The following is an 18,666-nucleotide window of genomic DNA, read 5'->3' on the forward strand; positions in this document are numbered from 1 at the left end:
TTATATTTTTAGTAGAGATGGGGTTTCACCATGTTGGCCAGGCTGGTCTCAAACTTCTGACCTCAGGTGATCCACCTGCCTCGGCCTCCCGAAGTGCTGGGATTACAGGCGTGAGCCACTGTGCGTGGCCCCGGCCGGTTATTTTTCTTTATGCATCAATTGGAAAGGTTTTACAATTCCAAATGCCTACATTATATAATGTCAGGGTGGTATCTTGCTCATTAGATCTGGAACTCCAGACAAAGCTCTATAGAATAACATGGATTACTGTTATATAAGCAGTGGACTGCAATTTTAAAAGACACTGGAGAAAGAAAACATGGTGATGTTTTATCTACCCTGTTTCTCCTGCCTTCCCAGTTGCCTTTGTTCCTTCTGAGCCTTCTTTAGAATTTATCTGATTGTTTTAGTTTTGCGGCCCTGAAGTGTAGATCAAAAAGTTTGGTCTTTCTTCTGTTGAACAGGCCATGTATGGGCTTCAAGTTCCATTCTCTAAGAGTCAGGACCAAAGGCTCAAAACTGCTACAGTTCAGGAGAACAAGATAGTTTAAAAACTACCATTAGTTGAGTTGCCTTAGGAAAGAAAGAGTCCCAATAGAAGTAAAGATTTCTAAAATATTCTTTCATTTTTAAAGTCTGTAAATAATGGATTTCCAGCGTTTAGTGCTTTAACCCCTGTTAACTAAAAGCCCCAAGGCTCAATTTATAATTATTTATAATCTTTCCTGCATTATTCAAGATACGATCTTTTGCTTCCCCTTAAAATTATTGTTCAATTATGAAAGAGATCAAACATATAAAATGGTTAGAGATGAAGATAACAAACAGTCATAAAAACCACCATCTGGATTTAATGAATATGAACATTTTGCCATATTTGCCCCAGAACTTTTTTCTTTGAAAGATAAAATGTTGTAGATACAGTTGAGGTTCCTTTGGTCTCTTCCCCACTCCAATTCCCCTGCTCCCTCCTCCCCTACCCTAGAGGGAACTTCTGTTCTGAACTTGGTGTGGTTCCTTCCCGTCGTACTTTTATACTTTTAAACGTTTGTGTGTCCACAACAACAACGTATACAGTTGTTTTGTGTAAGTTCAAGTGTACACCAAAGACATCGTACTAAGGCTGCCACTTGCCTTTTTTTTTTTTTTCCCCTCTTGGCATTATCATTTGGGATTTGTACATGTGGATTAAATTCATATATTTCAGGTACTATATAGCATTCCATTTTAGAAATATATCAATTTATCCATTCCCCCATTGATGGGTATTTAAGTTGTTTATAATTTTTTACTATTACAAATACTGCTATGATGAACATCCTTGAACATGGCCTCTTCTGTGTGTGTTGGAGAATTTCTCCCTCTGCAAATGCCTGGGAGTAGAATCCTGGTGGGTCCAAAATTACGCGTCTTTAACTCTGCCGGAGGTTGTCAGCTGCCATCTAATGTGCGCTGCCTCCACAGGCATGTGAGACTTCTCTCCAACACTAATTGTCAGGCTTCTCATCTCTTTCTAATCTGATGAGTAGCAAAGAGAGTTGATCTTTTTACTGCTTTGCCAAGACAAATTTAGTCTAAGTGAGTCAAAACATCATCTTTTTGGCCTGGTGAAATGGCTCATGCCTGTAATCCCAGCACTTTGGAAGGTGGGGCTGGGAGGATTGCCTGAGGCCAGGAGTTCAAGACTGGCCTGGGCAAGATGGTGAGATCCTATCTCTACAAAAAATAAATACATAAATTAATAAAAAAGGAAAAAAATCAGCTGGATGTGGTGGCAAATGCCTGTAGTCCCAGCTACTCAGGAATCTGAGGCGGAAGGATCACTGGAACCCAGGAGGTCAAGGTTGTAGTGAGCTATGATCATGTCACTGCACTCCATCCTGGGTGACAGGGCTAGACCCTGTCTCAAAAAAACAGGTTGGTCCTGTGGTAGTGGGTTATCAGAACTTATTAACATTAGTGTCACTAAAGTTTGTATACAACCCCTGAATGCTAAATTTGGCTTTAAAAAAGGAAAAAAAAAGAACTGAGATGGGAGTCTGTCTGCACGTTCAAGGGATAGTTGAACAGTGAGGAGGCCTGTGTGGCAGTAATCACAGCATGATGAGGGTGGGGGGATACTGGGGAGCAGGAAGTGGGCCATGAGGTCAGAGAGGGGTGTGGAAATGGGGGAAGGTATTGCATAGGACGTCAAAGTTCATTTGCAGGTCTTTGGCTTTTACTCTTTTTTTGTTTTTGTTTTTCAAACAGGGTCTCACTGTGTCACCCAGGCTGGAGTGCGGTGGCACAATCTTGGCTCACTGCAGCCTTGACCTCCTGGGCTCAAGGGATCCTCCCAACTCTGTGGTCCTGATTAGCTGGGTCCACAGGCATGTGCCATCACACTCAGCTAATTTTTGTATTTTTTTTGGAGAGATGGAGTTTGACCATGTTGCCCAGGCTGGTCTTGAACTCCTGAGCACAAGGTGATCCGCCCGCCTCAGCCTCCCGAAGTGCTGGGATTATAGGCGCCCGCTGGCTTTTACTCTGAGTTAGACGGTGTCTTAGTTCATTTTGTGTTTCTATAACTGGATAATAGAAACGGGATAATTTATAAAGAGACTAGGTAATTTATAAAGAAAAGAGATTTATTCTTTGTATTTGAGTCTGGGAAGTCTAAGGTGGAGGGCCCACATCCTGGCAAGGGCCTTTGTACTCCACATCCCAAGTGGAAGGAAAGGCAGGAGAGCTAGAGAGAAACGTGAGGGGCTGAACTTGCTTTTATAACAAACCTGCTCTTGAGATAGTGGCCCCAGCCCTGAAGTAACATCAATCTGCCCTCATGATCCAATCACCTCTTCAAGGCCCCACCTCTCAATACTGTTAAGATTAAATTTTCGGAGCCGGGCGAGGTGGCTCATGCCTGTAATCCCAGCACTTTGGGAGGCTGAGACGGGCGGATCACCTGAGGTCAGGAGTTCGAGACCAGCTTGGCCAACATGGTGAAACCCTGTCTTTACTAAAAATACAGAAATTAGCTGGGCGTGTTAGCGGGTGCCTGTAATCCCAGCTACCAGGGAGGCTGAGGCAGGAGAATCTCTTGAACCCGGGAGGCAGAGGTTGCAGTGAGCCAAGATAGCGCCACTGCACTCCAGCCCGGGTGACAGAGCGAGACTCCATCTCAAACAAACAAACAGACAAACAGAGGGATGACATTCAAAGCCTGAGACAGAATGAGGTAACTGAGAAGAGGTAGAACATTGATTGCTTGAGGTTGAGGACGGGGCAGGAGCCAACCAAGAAGGCTCAGGTGGGGCAGGAGGAGGATGAGGCAGGACTGGTATCCCCAGAGCTGAGGGAAAAAAGCAGTTAAAGAACAAAAGGGTGATCAGTTGTGTCAGATGCTGCCAATAGGTCAGTCATGTAAGAGGAGATGGAGAATTGCTATGGGATTTGGTAACCTGGAGGTCTCTCTGGAGCTCTTGATAAGAAGAGTTTGGTGTTGTATTCCATTTGCTAAGTACCATTTCAGAGGTTTCCAGTGGAAGTAAAATGCTTATTACAGACTAGTCTAGAAAAACTAGCCACTTTAAATCTTTTTGGAAACTAGATATATCACATAAGACAAATTCTGTTCGAGTTTGCTAAAAATCTTGGAGCGTGACATTGTTTGACTTTAGCTATGGAAAATGTCAACATCATTGTCACTTAGCCATAGCTACATTTATTTAAATTGAAATTTAAATTATAAAATAGAGCCAAGGTCTCACTATGTTGCCCAGGCTGGTCTTGAATTCCTGCGCTCACATGATCCTCTTGCCGCAGCCTCCCAGTGTGCTGGAATTACAGATGTGAGCCACTGTGCCTCTCCTGTAACTATATTTAATTCTCATATGAAGGGCTTTTGTCCTTTTTTTTTTTTTTTTTTTGAGATGGAGTCTCACTCTCTCCCCCAGGCTGGGGTGCAGCGGCGTGATCTCAGCTCACTCCAACCTCTGCTTCCCAGGTTCAAGCGATTCTTCTGCCTCAGCCTCCGGATACCTGGGATTACAGGTGCGTGCCACCATGCCCGGCTAATTCTTGTATTTTTAGTAGAGATGGGGTTTCATCACATTGGCCGGGTTGGTCTCAAACTCCTGACCTCAAGTGATCTGCCTGCGTTGGCCTCCCAAAGTGCTGGGATTACAGGCGTGAGCCACTACGCCTGGCCAAGGGCTTTCATTCTTAGAGTAATATGGTGAATTAATAACCATGTTTTAAAGCTGAACAACTCTTTAAGATAAGTCAGGCACCGGGCTTGGTGGTCCGATCCTGTATTTCCAGCTACTCAGGAGGCTGAGGCAGGGAGATACTTTGAGTGCAGAAGTTCGAGGCTGCCGTGAGCCATGATTATGCCTGTGAGTAGCCACTGTACTCTAGCCTGGGCAATACAGCCAGACCCTGTGTCTAAATAGTAATAATAATAATATTGAAGAAAAAAAAGAAAATGGGAAGGCAGGGAGAGAGGTCACATACAAATAGAATGACAGAAGGTATTAATGATGTTGAATAGAACAGGAATTTTGGCCAGGCTTGGTGGCTCATGCTTGTAGTCCCAGCACTTTGGGAGGCTGCGGCAGAAGAATAGCTTGAAGCCAGGAGTTTGAGACTAGTCTGGGCAACGTAGTGAGACCTTGTTTCTACAACAACAACAACAACAACAACAAAATATTAGAGTTGTGGTGGCACATCTATAGTCCCAGCTACTCAGGAGGCCAAGGTGAGAGGATTGCTCGAGTCTAGGAGTTCAAGGCTGCACTGAGCATGTTCATGCCACTGCACTCCCGGCATGGGCGACAGAGTGAGATACCATCTCTAAAAAACATAAGATACAAAGGCACAAGAATTTAACAGCATCAGTTCTCAAGTGTGGTCCTCAGACATTGGGAGGTCTCCCAGACTCTTTTAGGGTTTTGCAAGGTTAAAACTCTTTTCTTTTTCTTTCTTTCTTTCTTTTTTTTTTTTTTTTTTTTTTTTTGAGACGGAGTCTTGCTGTCATCGCCCGGGCTGGAGTGCAGTGGCATGATCTCGGCGCACTGCAACCTCTGACTCCTAGGTTCCAGCAATTCTCCTGCCTCAGCCTCCCAAGTAGCTGAGATTAGAGGCGCCCACCACCATGCCCGGTTAATTTTTGTATTTTTAGTAGAGACGAGGTTTCACCATGTTGGTCAGGCTGGTCTCGAACTCCTGACCTCAGGTGATCCACCCGCCTTGGCCTCCCAGAGCGCTGGGAATACAGGCGTGAGCCACTGTGCCTGGCCGAAATTATTTTCATAATGACATTAACACTTTGCCTTTTCACTGTGATCCCATTCACACCAATGTTCCAGAAGCAAAGGTGAGTAAAGCAGTTGGTGCTAGCACCAATTGGGCTGTTGCTGTGGTCATGGTATCCTTCACCACACATACTCTCAGTATAAAGAAAAGAAAAAGCCAGGTTCGCCTGAGAATGTCCTTGATGAAGTGGTAAAATTCATTAATTTTATGAAGTCTTGACTCCTGAGCACGTGTTTTTAATATTCTGTGTGCTGAAATGGGCAGTACTCCAAAAGCTCTTCTGCCGCCTGTTGAAGTATAATGGTGTGTTGGGAAAAAGCACGGTTGTTTGAATTGAGAGCTGAATTAATTGCTTTTTGGGTGAAGTACCATTTTTACTTAAACATCTAACAGACAAATGTGTTACTAGATTTGGGTATTTGGCAAGCCTTTTCTTGAAAACGAATGAAGTGAGCCCGACACTTCAAGGAAAACAACACAGTATTTGTTACCAATGATAAAATATGAGTTTTTTTTTTTTTTAAAGAAAAGAAAGAGTGGTCGAGTGCAGTGGTTCACACCTGTAATCCCAGCACTTTGGGAGGTTGAGGCAGGCGGATCACTTGAGGTTAGGAGTTCGAGACCAGCTTGGCCAACATGGCGAAACCCCATCTCTACTAAAAATACAAAAATTAGCCAGGTGGTGCTGGTGCCTCTAATTCCAGCTACCCATGAGGCTGAGGCACGAGAATCACTTCAACTTGGGAGGTGGAGGCTGCAGTGAGCCGAGATTGTGCTACTGTACCACTCCAGCTTAGGTGTGTGAGACTGTCTCAAAAAAAAAAAAAAGACAAAAGACAAGGTAGTAGAGATGATGGAAGGAGGGAGGAAGGGGAGCGGATATGAGTTTTTAAGTGAAAGGTTTTAAGGGAAAGTTAGACTTTTGGAATGCTTTTATCTACTACCAAGAGCTCAATGGCTTCCCAATGCTTAAAGACTTGTCTGATGAGATCAGTGGTGACATTCACAAATGTGATTTTTGGATATTGCATAATGAAATGTGTCAACATTTGGAAAATCTGCAGAACTCAATGAACCAATATTTTTCAAATGTCAAATGATGATATTCCAAAATCACATACAAGTAAAAGATCCATTCAAAGTACAAGATAGACTTGCTTCTAGCCAAGACGGAATGACAGGGACACCTCATGGCGAATGATGCTGCACATCTTTTTTTTTTTTTTTTCGAGACAGAGTCTTGCTCTGTCACCCAGGCTGGAGTGCCATGGCACAGTCTCGGCCCACTGCAACCTCCACTTCCCGAGTTCAAGCGATTCTCCTGCCTCAGCCTCCCGAGTAGCTGGGATTACAGGCACCCACTACCACGCCCGACAAATTTGTTGTTTTTTAGTATAGATGGGGTTTCATCATTATGGCCAGGCTGGTCTTGAACTCCTGACCTCAGATGATCTACCTGTCTTGGCCTCCCAAAGTGCTGGGATTACAGACCATGAGCCACTGCACCCAGCCTACCCATTTAAATAATTGTATTAGTTGTCTTCTTTTTCTCTTTCCTTTTTTTTTTTCTTGCATTATACTTTTAGCAAGGATTACTGTCAGATTCTACTCATTTGGCCAGAGACCCTCCTTGAGGTGTTTGCAGCAAACTTGCTCTACAGCTAGCACACTAGATTAGCTGTCTTTCTGCTGTGAATCTGTGATGTTCTTTTTGGAGATGTCTTTTTTTTTTTTTTCTTCTTTTTTTGAGACAGAATCTTGCTCTGTTGCCCAGGCTGGAGTGCAGTGGCACGATCTCGGCTCACTGCACCCTCCACCTCCCGGGTTCAAGCAATTCTCTGCCTCACCCTCCTGAGTAGCTGGGATTACAGGCACCCACCACTATGCTTGGCTAATTTTTTTGTATTTTTAGTAGAGATGGGATTTCATCATCTTGGCCAGACTGGTGTTGAACTCCCAACCCTGTAATCCACCCGCCTCCCAAAGTGCTGGGGATTACAGGCATGAGCCACTGCGCCCAGCCAATCTTTTTTTTTTTTTTTTTTTTTTTTTTGAGATGGAGTTTCGCTCTTGTCACCCAGGCTGCAGTGCAATGGCCGATCTTGGCTCACTGCAACCTCCGCCTCCTGGGCTCAAGTGATTCTCCTGCCTCAGCCTCCAGAGTTGCTGGGATTACAGGCATGCAGCACCATGCCTGGATAATTTTGTATTTTTTAGTAGAGACGGGGTTTTGCCATGTTGGTCAGGCTGGTCTCAAACTCCTGACCTCAGGTGATCTGGCCATCTCGGCCTCCCAAAGTGCTGGAATTACAGACGTGAGCGACCATGCCTGGCAGAGGTGTCTTAGTAGACTCTGCCTCCTCTAGACTTTGCTATAACAGTCCTGTGTCCTTTCTAGTCTATCCTAAGACCTGTCCAGGTTCATTAAGTCATTATAAGACAAACTATACCCTGGTTGCAGTTGCTTGGACGTTTCTATTTTCTTGCCTGTTTCTTTAAGCTTAAATATTGAAATTGAGTTAAACTCCTCTGTCTTCTTATCAGATATTCTCTGAATTCTTTTTTCTGTTTGTCTTACAGCTTCACGGTGATGATATGGCATCTGCCAGCTCTAGCCGGGCAGGAGTGGCCCTGCCTTTTGAGAAGTCTCAGCTCACTTTGAAAGGTGAGTGGCACTGTATAATGTCTTCATCTTGTCTACGCCCAGGGAAGAGGGAGAATCTAACCACACCTTGGTCTGGGGAGCCAAATTTTGTGAAATAGTTTACATGTGTTAATTATTTATTCTCATGGGATTGTCATCTTGTAGCTGTAATTCTTGAAGAAGAAAGAAAATAAAGGAGCAGGAAAATAGGGAACTTTTAGCTAAAATTGTCTAAAATGGTGATTTCAGGCCAGGTGCAGTGGCTCACGCCTGTAATTCAGCACTTTGGGAGGCTGAGGCAGGAGGATCCCTTAAGCCCAGAGTTTCAAGACCAGCCTGGGAAACATAGGGAAGCCCTGTCTCTACAGAACATAAAATAATTAGCCAGGCATAGTGGTGCATGCTAGCTGGTCCCAGCTACTAAGGACACTGAAGTGGGAGGATCGCTTGAGCCTGGGAGTTCAAGGCTGCAGTGAGCTGTGATCACACCACTGCACTCAGCCTGGGCAACAGGGTGAGACCCTGTCCCAAAAACAAATTAAAATAAAAACTGAATAAAATAAAATGGTGACCTGTTCATGCCCTAGGGCTCGTTGCTACCTGCACTCGCTCCCTAGGTGCTTCTTCCAACCTCTGGCTTTAAATGCCACCAATAGAAGATCACTCCTCTGGGCTTTACCTCTGAACTCCTGATTTATAACCAGTAGCCAGTTTGTTACCTTCACTTGAATATTTAGTAAACATCTAAAATTTAGCCTGTCTATAGCTGAGGTCCTGGTTTTTCTTCCTCATTGTCTGTATCAACCCATCAGCGTATCTGGTTGACTCGATCTTCAAAATGTGTCACTCAACATTCAGCCACTTCTCACCACCCCTAGGTCCCAGCCTAGTCCAGGCCACCATTGTCTCCACCCTGAGTTAAGGCAGTAGCCTCCTGTCCTGTCTCTCGGCTTCTGCACTTTGCCCTCCTTCAGTCTGTTGGTCACACAGCAGCCAGTGATCTTGTTAAAAGGTAAACTGGGGCCAGGTGTGGTGACTCATGCCTGTAATATCAGCACTTTGGGAGGCCAAGGCAGGAGGATCACCTGAGCCCAGGAGTTTGAGACCAGCCTGAGCAACAGAGCAAGACCCCCGTCTCTAAAAAAAAAAAATCAGAGGCTGAGACAGGAGGATCACTTGAGCCTAGGAGTTCGAGGCTGCAGTAAGCTGTGATTGTGCCACTGCACTCCAGCCCAGGCAACAGAGCAGAGCGAGACCATGTCTCAGAAAAAAAAATGTAAGCTGGGTCTTGTCACTCCTCTGCTCAAACCATTCAAGGGTGCTCCATTTCACAGTAGAAGCCGAAGCTCCCATGTGATGTGACCCTTCCCCACCCCACATTTCTCATCTCCTGTTCCTGGTCTACATTCTCTGTGCCCCAGCCTCCTTGCTCTTCAGTGAATACACTGGGCAGGCGTCTGCCTCTGGGCCTTTGCACTTGCTGTTCCCTCTGAGTGAAATGCTTTTCGCTTCATTATTTCCTTAGGCGTTTTCTCAAAAGCCACCCTCTTCCTGATCCCCTGATCCAACGCCACCTTTCTCATTGACTTCATCACATCTATTTCCCTCTCTTCTTTATATTTTTCTTATCAGCCCTTGTCCCTGTTTAATTAATTTATTTCATTTGTTGACTGTCTCCTTCAATAGAGTGTAAGATCCACAGTAAGAGATTTTTGTCGCTTTGGTCACTGTTAACTACCCCAGCCAGTAGAACAGTGCCTGACACATAGTGGGCCCTCAGTAAATAGTGCCTGAACGAAAGAATATTGCTTCGGGTTCCATAGCTCTGCAGCCATCACAGATGGGAGAGTGGCTCTCAGTATCTGAGCTCAGACCCCTCAGCCTGGTCCTCCAGAGGCAAAATTGTGTCTCTTGGGAATATTTTTCTTGAGTATTTTTGAAATGCAAATGTTATTTATATAATATACTCATGGAGTTTAAAAATCTTAGTTTTTAATTTTATTATTATTATATTTTGCGACAGAGTCTCGCTCTGTCGCCCAGGCTGGACTGCAGTGGCGCTGTCTCGGCTCACTGCAATTTCTTCCTCCCAGGTTAAAACAGTTCTCCTGTCTCAGCCTTCCAAGTAGCTGGGATTACCAGTGTGTGCCACCAGGCCTGGCTAACTTTTTTGTTTGTTTGTTTTTTTGAGATGGAGTCTCGCTCTGTTGCTCAGGCTGGAGTGCAGTGGTGCGATCTCGACTCACTGTAACCTCCGCCTCCCGGGTTCAAGCAATTCTTCTGCCTCAGCCTCCTCAGTAGCTGGGACTACAGGCGTGTGCCACCGCGCCTGGCTACTTTTTGTATATTTAGTAGAGATGGGGTTTCACCATATTGGGCAGGCTGGCTTCAAACTCATGACCTCATGATCTCCCCGCCTCGGCCTCCCAAAGTGCTGGGATTACGGGCGTGAGCCACCGTGCCCAGCCTCCTATAGTTCAAAATTCTTTCCTGCAGTCCTTCAGTGCTCCTCCTTGGAAAAAACCAGTATTGTTTCTTGTGTGTCTCTTCCAAGATACACCAAAAGGGATGCATTTTTGTAATTTTGAGAGCCAGATTGCCTTCCTTGGAAGGAATACCCTTCTAGCAATGTGCGAGAGTGCCTGTTTCCCTACATCTTTACCAGCACAATGTTGTCAGACTTTTAACTTTTGCCTGTTTCATTGGTGCAAGCTTGTGTTCTCAGTGTAGTTTTATTTCCCACTTCTTTACTTACGCATTTGATCCTTGAACAGCATGAGGGTCAGGGGTGCTGATTCCCTGCTCAGTAAAAAAATCCACATGTAACTTTTGACTCCCCCAAAACTTTACTAATAGCCTGCTGTTGACTGAAAGCCTTGCCAATAACAGAAACAGTTGATTGGCTGGGTGCGGTGGCTCACGCCTGTAATCCCAGCACTTTGAGAGGCTGAGGCAGACAGATTCCCTGAGGTCAGGAGTTCGAGACCAGCCTGGCCAATGTGGTAAAACCCTGCCTCTACTAAAAATACACAAAAAAATTAGCCAGGCGTGGTGGCAGGCGCATGTAATCCCAGCTACTTGGGAGGCTGAGGCAGGGGAACCGCCTCAACCCGGGAGGCCGAGGTTGCTGTGAGCCGAGACCACACCATTGCACTCCAGCCTGGGCAACAAGAACGAAATTCTATCTCAAAGAAAACAACAAAAAAAGAGAAACAGTTGATTAACACGTATTTTGTATGTTACATGTATTATATACTGTATTTTTACAATAAAATAAGCTAGAGAAAAAATCATAAGGAGGAAAAAAATTTTACTATTTATTCAGTGGAAGTGGGTCATCATAAAGGTCTTCATCCTCATCATTTTCATGTTGAGTAGCTGAGGAGGAGGAGGAAGAGGAAGGATTGGTTTTGCTATCTCTTGGGTGGCAAAGGCAGGAGAAAATCCATGTAAAAGTGGACCCTTGTAGTTCAAACCTCTCTTGTTTAAAGGTCAACTGTATGATGTTTAGCATCTTTTTTTTTGTTTGTTTTTGAGACAGAGTCTCACTCTGTCACCCAGGCGGGGGTGCAGTGGTGTGATCTTGGCTCACTGCGACCTCTGTCTCCTGGGTTCAAGCGATTCTCATGCCTCAGCCTCCCAAGGAGCTGGGTTTACAGGCATGTGCCACCACACCTGGCTAATTTTTGTATTTTTAGTAGAGATGGGGTTTTGCTATGTTGGCCAGGCTGGTCTCGAACTTCTGACCTCAAGTGATCCGCCTGCCTCAGCCCCCCAAAGTGCTGGGATTACAGGTGTGAACTACTGCACCCGGCCAGTGTTTAGCATCTTATATATTTAAGGGCGGTTGTATTTCCTTTCCTATGGATTGCCTGTTCATGTTCTTTGCCTGTTTCTTATTACATTATTGATTGTTTTTGTAGTCTTGAAATATTTTAATTATATTTCTTGGAGTCTTTTGCCTTGCTTCTGCCCTTTTGAGTAGGGAGATGAGTTAGAGTGAACTAATATGGTTTTAAACTGGGGGCTACAGACTTTATTACCTTAGCTAATAATTAGCAAGTCTAGGTCAAAGCAGAAGTTGGCCTATTGGACCTGGTAACATCCTGAGGTCTCTGTTTTGGGGCCATGTTATTCAGCCACGCACACTTACTTCTTTTCTTTTTTTCTTTCTTTTTTTTTTTTTGAGACGGAGTCTCGCTCTATCGCCGAGGCTGGAGTGCAGTGGCGTGATCTTGGTTCACTGCAACCTCTGCCTCCCAAGTTCAAGCAATTCTCCTGCCTCAGCCTCCAAAGAAGCTGGGATTACAGGCACCTGCCACCACACCCGGCTAATTTTCGTATTTTTAGTAGAGACAGGGTTTCACCGTATTGGTCAGGCTGGTCTCAAACTCCTGACCTCAGGTGATCCACCCACCTCGGCCTGCCAAAGTGCTGGGATTACAGGCGTAAGCCACTGCACCTGGCCTCTTTTCTTTTTTTGAGACAGTCTTTCTCTGTTGCTCAGGCTGGAATGTAGTGGCATGATTACAGCTCACTGCAGCCTCAAAATAGGCTCAAGCAATCCTCCTGCCTCAGCCTCCTGAGTAGCTAGGACTTTAGGCATACACTACCATACTTAGCTAATTCTTAAATTTTTTTTATAGAGATAGGTCTTGCTGTGCTGTCCAGGCTGGTTTCAAACTCCTGGACTCAAGCAGTTCTCCCACCTTGGCCTCTTAAAGTGCTGGGATTACAGGTGTGAGCCACCGTGCCTGGCCCCCACCTCGGCCTCTTAAGGTGCTGGGATTATAGATGTGAGCCTCTGCACCTGTCCAGCACATACTTCTAAAGGCTTTTTTGTTGCCTTTCTTGAAGGTGAATTTTCTTACCAGGGTGGAAAGAGCCAGCTTGATAATACTGGTGTATCTCATTATACACATATTTAACCTACACAGATTTGGTAATACCATTCAGGAAAATGGTGGGGGGAAAGAGAAAGAGAGAAATAACCATTTAAATAGCGTAGGTGGTTCTTTTTCCCGTGCATTTCATGAAGAAAGCTGATAGTGTAACCTGTGGGGTGTGACTGCGCGGTTTCCAGTTCCCTTGTGCCTGCCCACAGTGTGATCCTGGTGTTTTAAGGTATATTTTTAAATGCATCGAGGCCCTTAAACGTAGGACAGCTATTTTATTTGATATTTTACTAGAGAAACACTGAAAAACTGATCTCTGAAAAGCATAGTATAATAAAACAAGAAACAAGCTGTTTGGAACTTATTGAGAGAGCAGATGCCAGACTCTATTGTGGTCCCTTCTTAAGAGCTTTTTCAGTGTATAATTTTGTCTTTATATGATTTTTGCCTGATTTGTTGACTTTAAAAGCTAAATCTCACATAAAGTCGTGACTCTGTGTATAAAGATATATTTCATGAAAGAGACTTTCTAGATAAACTTGCTCATATCTTTATTTTAGCCTGTCTTTTAAGAACAAGAAATATTCAAAATATCACCCTGCTGATTAACTGTAGGTTACAAATGTGTCAGTGGAGAGACCTGGCCAACTCCACATTAAGCAGATGTTCAAACTTAGTATCCCCAATGGCAGGACAACCTAATGTATGTGGTAAGAGGTACACGACATAACTTATGTAGTATTCTTCTTTCTTTTGAGTCAGGGTCTCACTCTGTCACCTAGGCTAGAGTGCAGTGGCACAATTACAGCTCACTACAGCCTCGACCTCCTGGGCTCCAGGGATCCTCCTATCTCAGCCTCTCGAGTAACTGGAACTACAGGTGTGAGCCACTACACCTGGCTAATATTTTATTTTTTGTAGATTTGGGGTCTTGCTGTGGTGCCCAGGCTTGTCTCGAACTCCTGGGCTCAGGTGGCCCTTCTGCCTCGGCCTCCTAAAGTGTTGCAATTACAGGGTGAGCCACTGTGCCTGGCCTTTAAACCGAATCTAATCATGAGGAAACAATTGTAATCACCCAGTGGGTTCTTCTTGCCCACTGCACAGATAAAATAAATTCACTGCTGGGCGCGGTGGCTCATGCCTGTAATCCGAGCACTTTGGGAGGCCTAGGTGGGATCATGAGGTCAGGAGTTCAAGACCAGCCTCGCCAAGATGGTGAAATCCTGTCTCTACTAAAAATACAAAAAAATTAGCTGGGTGTGATGGCAGGCGCCTGTAATCCCAGATACTTGGGAGGCTGAGGCAGAGAATTGCTTGAACCTGGGAGGCAGAGGTTGCAGTGAGTCAAGATTGCACCACTGCACTCCAGCCTGGGTGACAGAGCAAGACTCCATCTAAAAAAATAATAATAATAAATAAATAAATTCACTGGGACTGTAGCATTGCATTAGAGAAAGAGTTTAATTGACACAAAACAGGCCATATGGGAGACAGAGTTATCACTCAGATCAGTCTTCCTGGAGGCTCAGAGATTAGGGTTTTTATAGACAATTTGACAGGTAGGGGACTAGGGAATGGGTGCTGCTTATTGGTTGGGGATGAGATTATAGAGGTGTGGAAAATGGTCCTGTGCTGAGTCCACTTCTGGGTGGGGCCACAGGATAATTTGTTTCACGAGTCAAGTCACGGGCCCAGGCAAAGTCAGTAGATTGCCAGAAAGAAAAAATCTCAAAAGACCAACCTTAGGTTCTGCAATAGCGATGTTATCTATGGGAGCAATTGGGGAAGTCACAAATCTTGTGACCTCTGGCTTCATGACTCCTGAGCAGTAAGGGATTATAGAAACTATACCTACCTCTTATTAGAATTCAAGCCCCTCCCATAATCCTAACCTTGTGGCTGTTGATTAGTTTTACAAAGGTGGTTTCGTTTTGGGAAGGGCTGTTATTATCCTTGCTTTTTTTTTTTTTTTTTTTTTTTTTGAGACAGGGTCTTGCTCTGTTACCCAGGCTGGAGTGCGTTGGACAATCTCAGCTTACTGCACTTTCTGCCTCCTGGGTTCAAGCGATTCTCGTGTCTTAGCCTCCTGAATAGCTGGAACTACAGGCGTGCGCCACCACGCCCGGCTAAGTTTTGTACTTGTAGTAGAGACGGGGTTTCACCAAGTTGGCCAGGCTGGTTTCAAACTCCTGGTCTCAAGTGATCTACCTCCCTTAGCCTCCCAAAGTGCTGGGATTACAGGCATAAGCCACCATGCCCAGCTATCCTTGCTTTAAGATTAAACTATAGGCTGGGTGTGGTGGCTCATGCCTGTAATCCCAGTACTTTAGGAGGCTGAGGCGGGTGGATGACTTTGAGCTCAGGCTTAAAGTTTGAGACCAGCCTGGGCAACATGGAAACCCTGTCTCTACAAAAAATACAAATATGAGCCAGGCATGGTGGCTCACACCTGTAGTCCCAGCTACTTGAGAGGCTGAGGTGGGAAGATCGCTTGAGCCCCAGAGGTGGAGGCTGCAGCGAGATGAGATTGCACCACTGCACTCCAGCCTGGGCAGCAGAGGGAGACCCGGTCTCAAAAAAAAAAAGAAACTATAAACTAAATTTCTCCCAAAATTAGCTTGGCCCATGCCCAGGAATGACCAAGGACAGCCTAGAAATCAGAAGTAAGATGGAATCAACTATGTCCGATTTCTCTGTCATAATTTTGCAAAGGCAGTTTCACAATTAGAAAAATGTAGAATTTGCTGCATTCTTTAAAACAGCTGGTGGAAGTCTTTAAAAATCATTGTTGCCTTGGCAAAGCTGCTGGGATTATAAAAGAAAAAAACCAAAAAGTTAAACAAACAAAAATCATTGCCATGGAAAAGAAGGGAGGATGTTCTAGATTTTAAAAGATTAAGGAGATAGTAGCCACAGGCAATTTGTATATATTGATTAGGTACTGAATTGGGGGAAAAATGGCTTTAAAAATATGTCTGGGGACTGGGCAGTAGCTCATGTTTGTAATCCCAGCATTTTGGAAAGCTCTGGCGGGTAGATCGCTTGAGTCCAGGTGGATTCCTTGAGCCCAGGAGTTCGAGATCAGCCTGGCCAATGGGGTGAAATCCCGTCTCTACAAAAAAAATTAAAAAGTTAGCCAGGCGTGGTGTTGCGCACTGGTAGTCCCAGCTACTCAGGAAGCTGAGGTGGGAGGATCGCTTCAGCCAGGTAGGTCGAGGCTGCAGTGAGCCGTGATCGTGCCACTGCACTCCAGCCGGTCTACAACTTACTTTTTAATGGTTTTACCTAGGAAAAAAAATGCGGATACACACACACACACACACACACACACACACACACATACACAGAGACATAGATGGCATTTATCTATAACCTTTGGTGTCCAATAGAATAGTCACTGTAGCCACATAGAACTGTTTACACTTAAATTACAATTATATAACATTTAAAAATCATATCCTTATTTGCACTAGCCATATTTCAAGTGTCAATAGCCACATGTGTCTCATGGCAATGTATTGGGCAGCACAGATGTGGAACATTTTCGTCATCATGGAAGTTCTCTTGGGTAGTGATGCTATAGACACATAGAACAGAAAGCAAATGTGGCAAAATGATAACAATTGGTGAAGAGTATACAGTATTTATTGTTCTATTTCAATTTTTCTATAGATTGGAAACTTAAAAATAGGAGGTTTTTTTTTTTTTTTTTTTTTTTTTTGTGAGAGTCTCTCTCCATCACCCAGGCTGGAGTGTGGTCTCAGCTCACTGTAGCCTCCGCCTCCTGGGTTCAAACAGTTCTCATGCCTCAGCCTCCTGAGTAGCTGGGACTACTGTTGTGCCCCACCACGCCCAGCTAGTTTTTGTATTTTTGGTAGAGACAGGGTTTAGCCATGTTGCCCAGGCTGGTCTCAAACTCCTGGCCTCAAGTGATCTGCCTGCCTCGGCCTCCCAAAGAGCTGGGATTACAGGCGTGAGCCACCATGCCCTGCTTCAAAATAAGAGTACTAAATGCCAGTATGATCCTAGATTGGGGCCTGGACCAGAACAAATTTTTTTTTCTTTCTTTTTTTTTTTGCGATGATGGGCATCGATAGGACAATTGGCAAAATACGAATAAAGTCTGTAAATTAAATATTAGTATTATAAAAAGTTAAATGTCCTGATTTTGATAATTGTGCTATTGGTTATGTTAAAAAATGTGTTTGTTGGGAAATACACCCAGAAATATTTAGGAGTAAAGGGGCACAATGTCTAGAGCTTACTCTCAGAGTTTCAGGAAAAAGTGTGTATGTGTATGAGCGCAGATACTTCTCAACTTACAGTGGGGTTACGTCCTGAAAAACCCATCATAAGTTGAACATATCGCAAGTTGAAAATGCATCTGATACTCCTAATCTGCCGAGCATCATAGCTTAGCCTAGCCTACCTTAAATGTGCTCAGGACACTTCGATATCCCGCAGCTAGGCAAGATCATCTGGTGAAGGGGTACACGGCAGAGTATCAATTGTTTGCCCCTGTGATCACGTGGCTGACTGGTGTTGCGGCTCACTGCCGCTGCCCAGTAGTACCGCATATGACTATTCTGCGAAAAGACCAAAATTCAAAATTTAAAATACAGTTTTTACTGAATGCATATCGCTTTCGCACCCCTGTAAAGTCAAACGTCCTAAGTAATGCACCATTTGTAGTCCCTATTTTTTAAAGGCATGTAGATTCATGCTCTTACCACCAGGTGGCCTCAGTTAACCTTGGTCCGTGTGTAAATCACTGCACCTCATTTTTCTACCCTGGGCCATGCCTCAGTACCACAAACCTTTGTCCCTAGTACTGTTCCCTTGTCGCTTCTGAATCTTAGCCACAGCTGATTTTTTATCTGTTGTCTTCCTCCCTTCTGTTCCTTTGGGGCCAGAGGAAGATAGTTACTGCTATAAAAAATCTGAAGGTGAATTTGGCCTTTGCCAAGTTGTAGACACCATTGTAGGACTGTCACCTTTCAGAAGAGTCTGGGAGGGAGGGATTTGCTTATACTCAAACAGGGAAGCTCAGGCTAGGATAGACTTGCCATTACAGGCAAGGGAGCATCAGTTGTATCTCTGATTTGGGGCAGGATGGGAGACGTCTAGATGTGTTTTACCCTAGCGACCTGGCGTTTCCACCAGGGGTAATATACACTAGGATGTCTGTCTAGCTCCTCGGTGTGATGCTTGTGTAGCTTTGTACTCCATGAGTCTTTGGCTTGCTGGTCCCAAACGAACATCAGAATTGTTGCCACATGAAGGCTATGAGCGGAAGAAGAAATGTAGATGACTAACGACACATGGCAAAAATATTCAACCTTGCTGGTAATCGAAGAACAGCAATAGAACAAATAAGTAAAGTTCAATAATAATATGCAGCATGATGTGGAATCAGACCGGCCGGGTGCACAGTCTGGCTTGTAGCTCCCTGGCTATGTAGAGTGGGAGAGTGACCTTGCCTCTCAAGCCTGTTTTCTCCTGGGTAAAATGGGGTGATGATATATTCCCTGCCTCATGGGTTTGTTGTGAGGATTCAGTTAGAAAATGTATGCACATGGCAGAGGGTCTTTAATAAGTACTCATAAAATCTTAAATATTATCTTTATTTATTTCAGTTAAAATTTATAAATTGGCCAGGTGCGGTGGCTCACGCCTGTAATCCCAGCACTTTGGGAGGCCAAGGTAGGCAGATCATCTGAGGTCAGGAGTTTGAGACCAGCCTGGCCAACATGGTGAAACCCTGTCTCTACTAAAAATACAAAAATTAGCCAGGCACGGTGGCGGGCGCCTGTAATCCCAGCTACTCAGGAG

General features: G+C 44.6%; 1 protein-coding gene across 12 annotated transcripts in view; it reads left to right on the forward strand.

The window, feature by feature from the left end:
- Positions 1–18,666, forward strand: part of WWP2 (WW domain containing E3 ubiquitin protein ligase 2) — a 179,408-nt gene that overhangs the window by 16,789 nt on the left and 143,953 nt on the right. For 7 of the 12 annotated variants that reach the window (NM_007014.5, NM_001270454.2, XM_011522825.2 and 4 more), the window contains one exon: positions 7,876–7,960. In NM_007014.5, the coding sequence (NP_008945.2) occupies positions 7,891–7,960 (70 nt within the window). In that variant the 5' untranslated portion in view covers positions 7,876–7,890. Of the gene's footprint in view, positions 1–3,911; positions 4,033–7,875; positions 7,961–18,666 lie in introns of all 12 variants that reach the window. The other 5 variants (XM_017022879.2, XM_047433520.1, XM_047433523.1 and 2 more) reach the window with 3 other exon arrangements.

The sequence above is a fragment of the Homo sapiens genome, chromosome 16, assembly GCF_000001405.40.
Source record: "Homo sapiens chromosome 16, GRCh38.p14 Primary Assembly".
Classification (NCBI taxonomy): domain Eukaryota; kingdom Metazoa; phylum Chordata; class Mammalia; order Primates; family Hominidae; genus Homo; species Homo sapiens.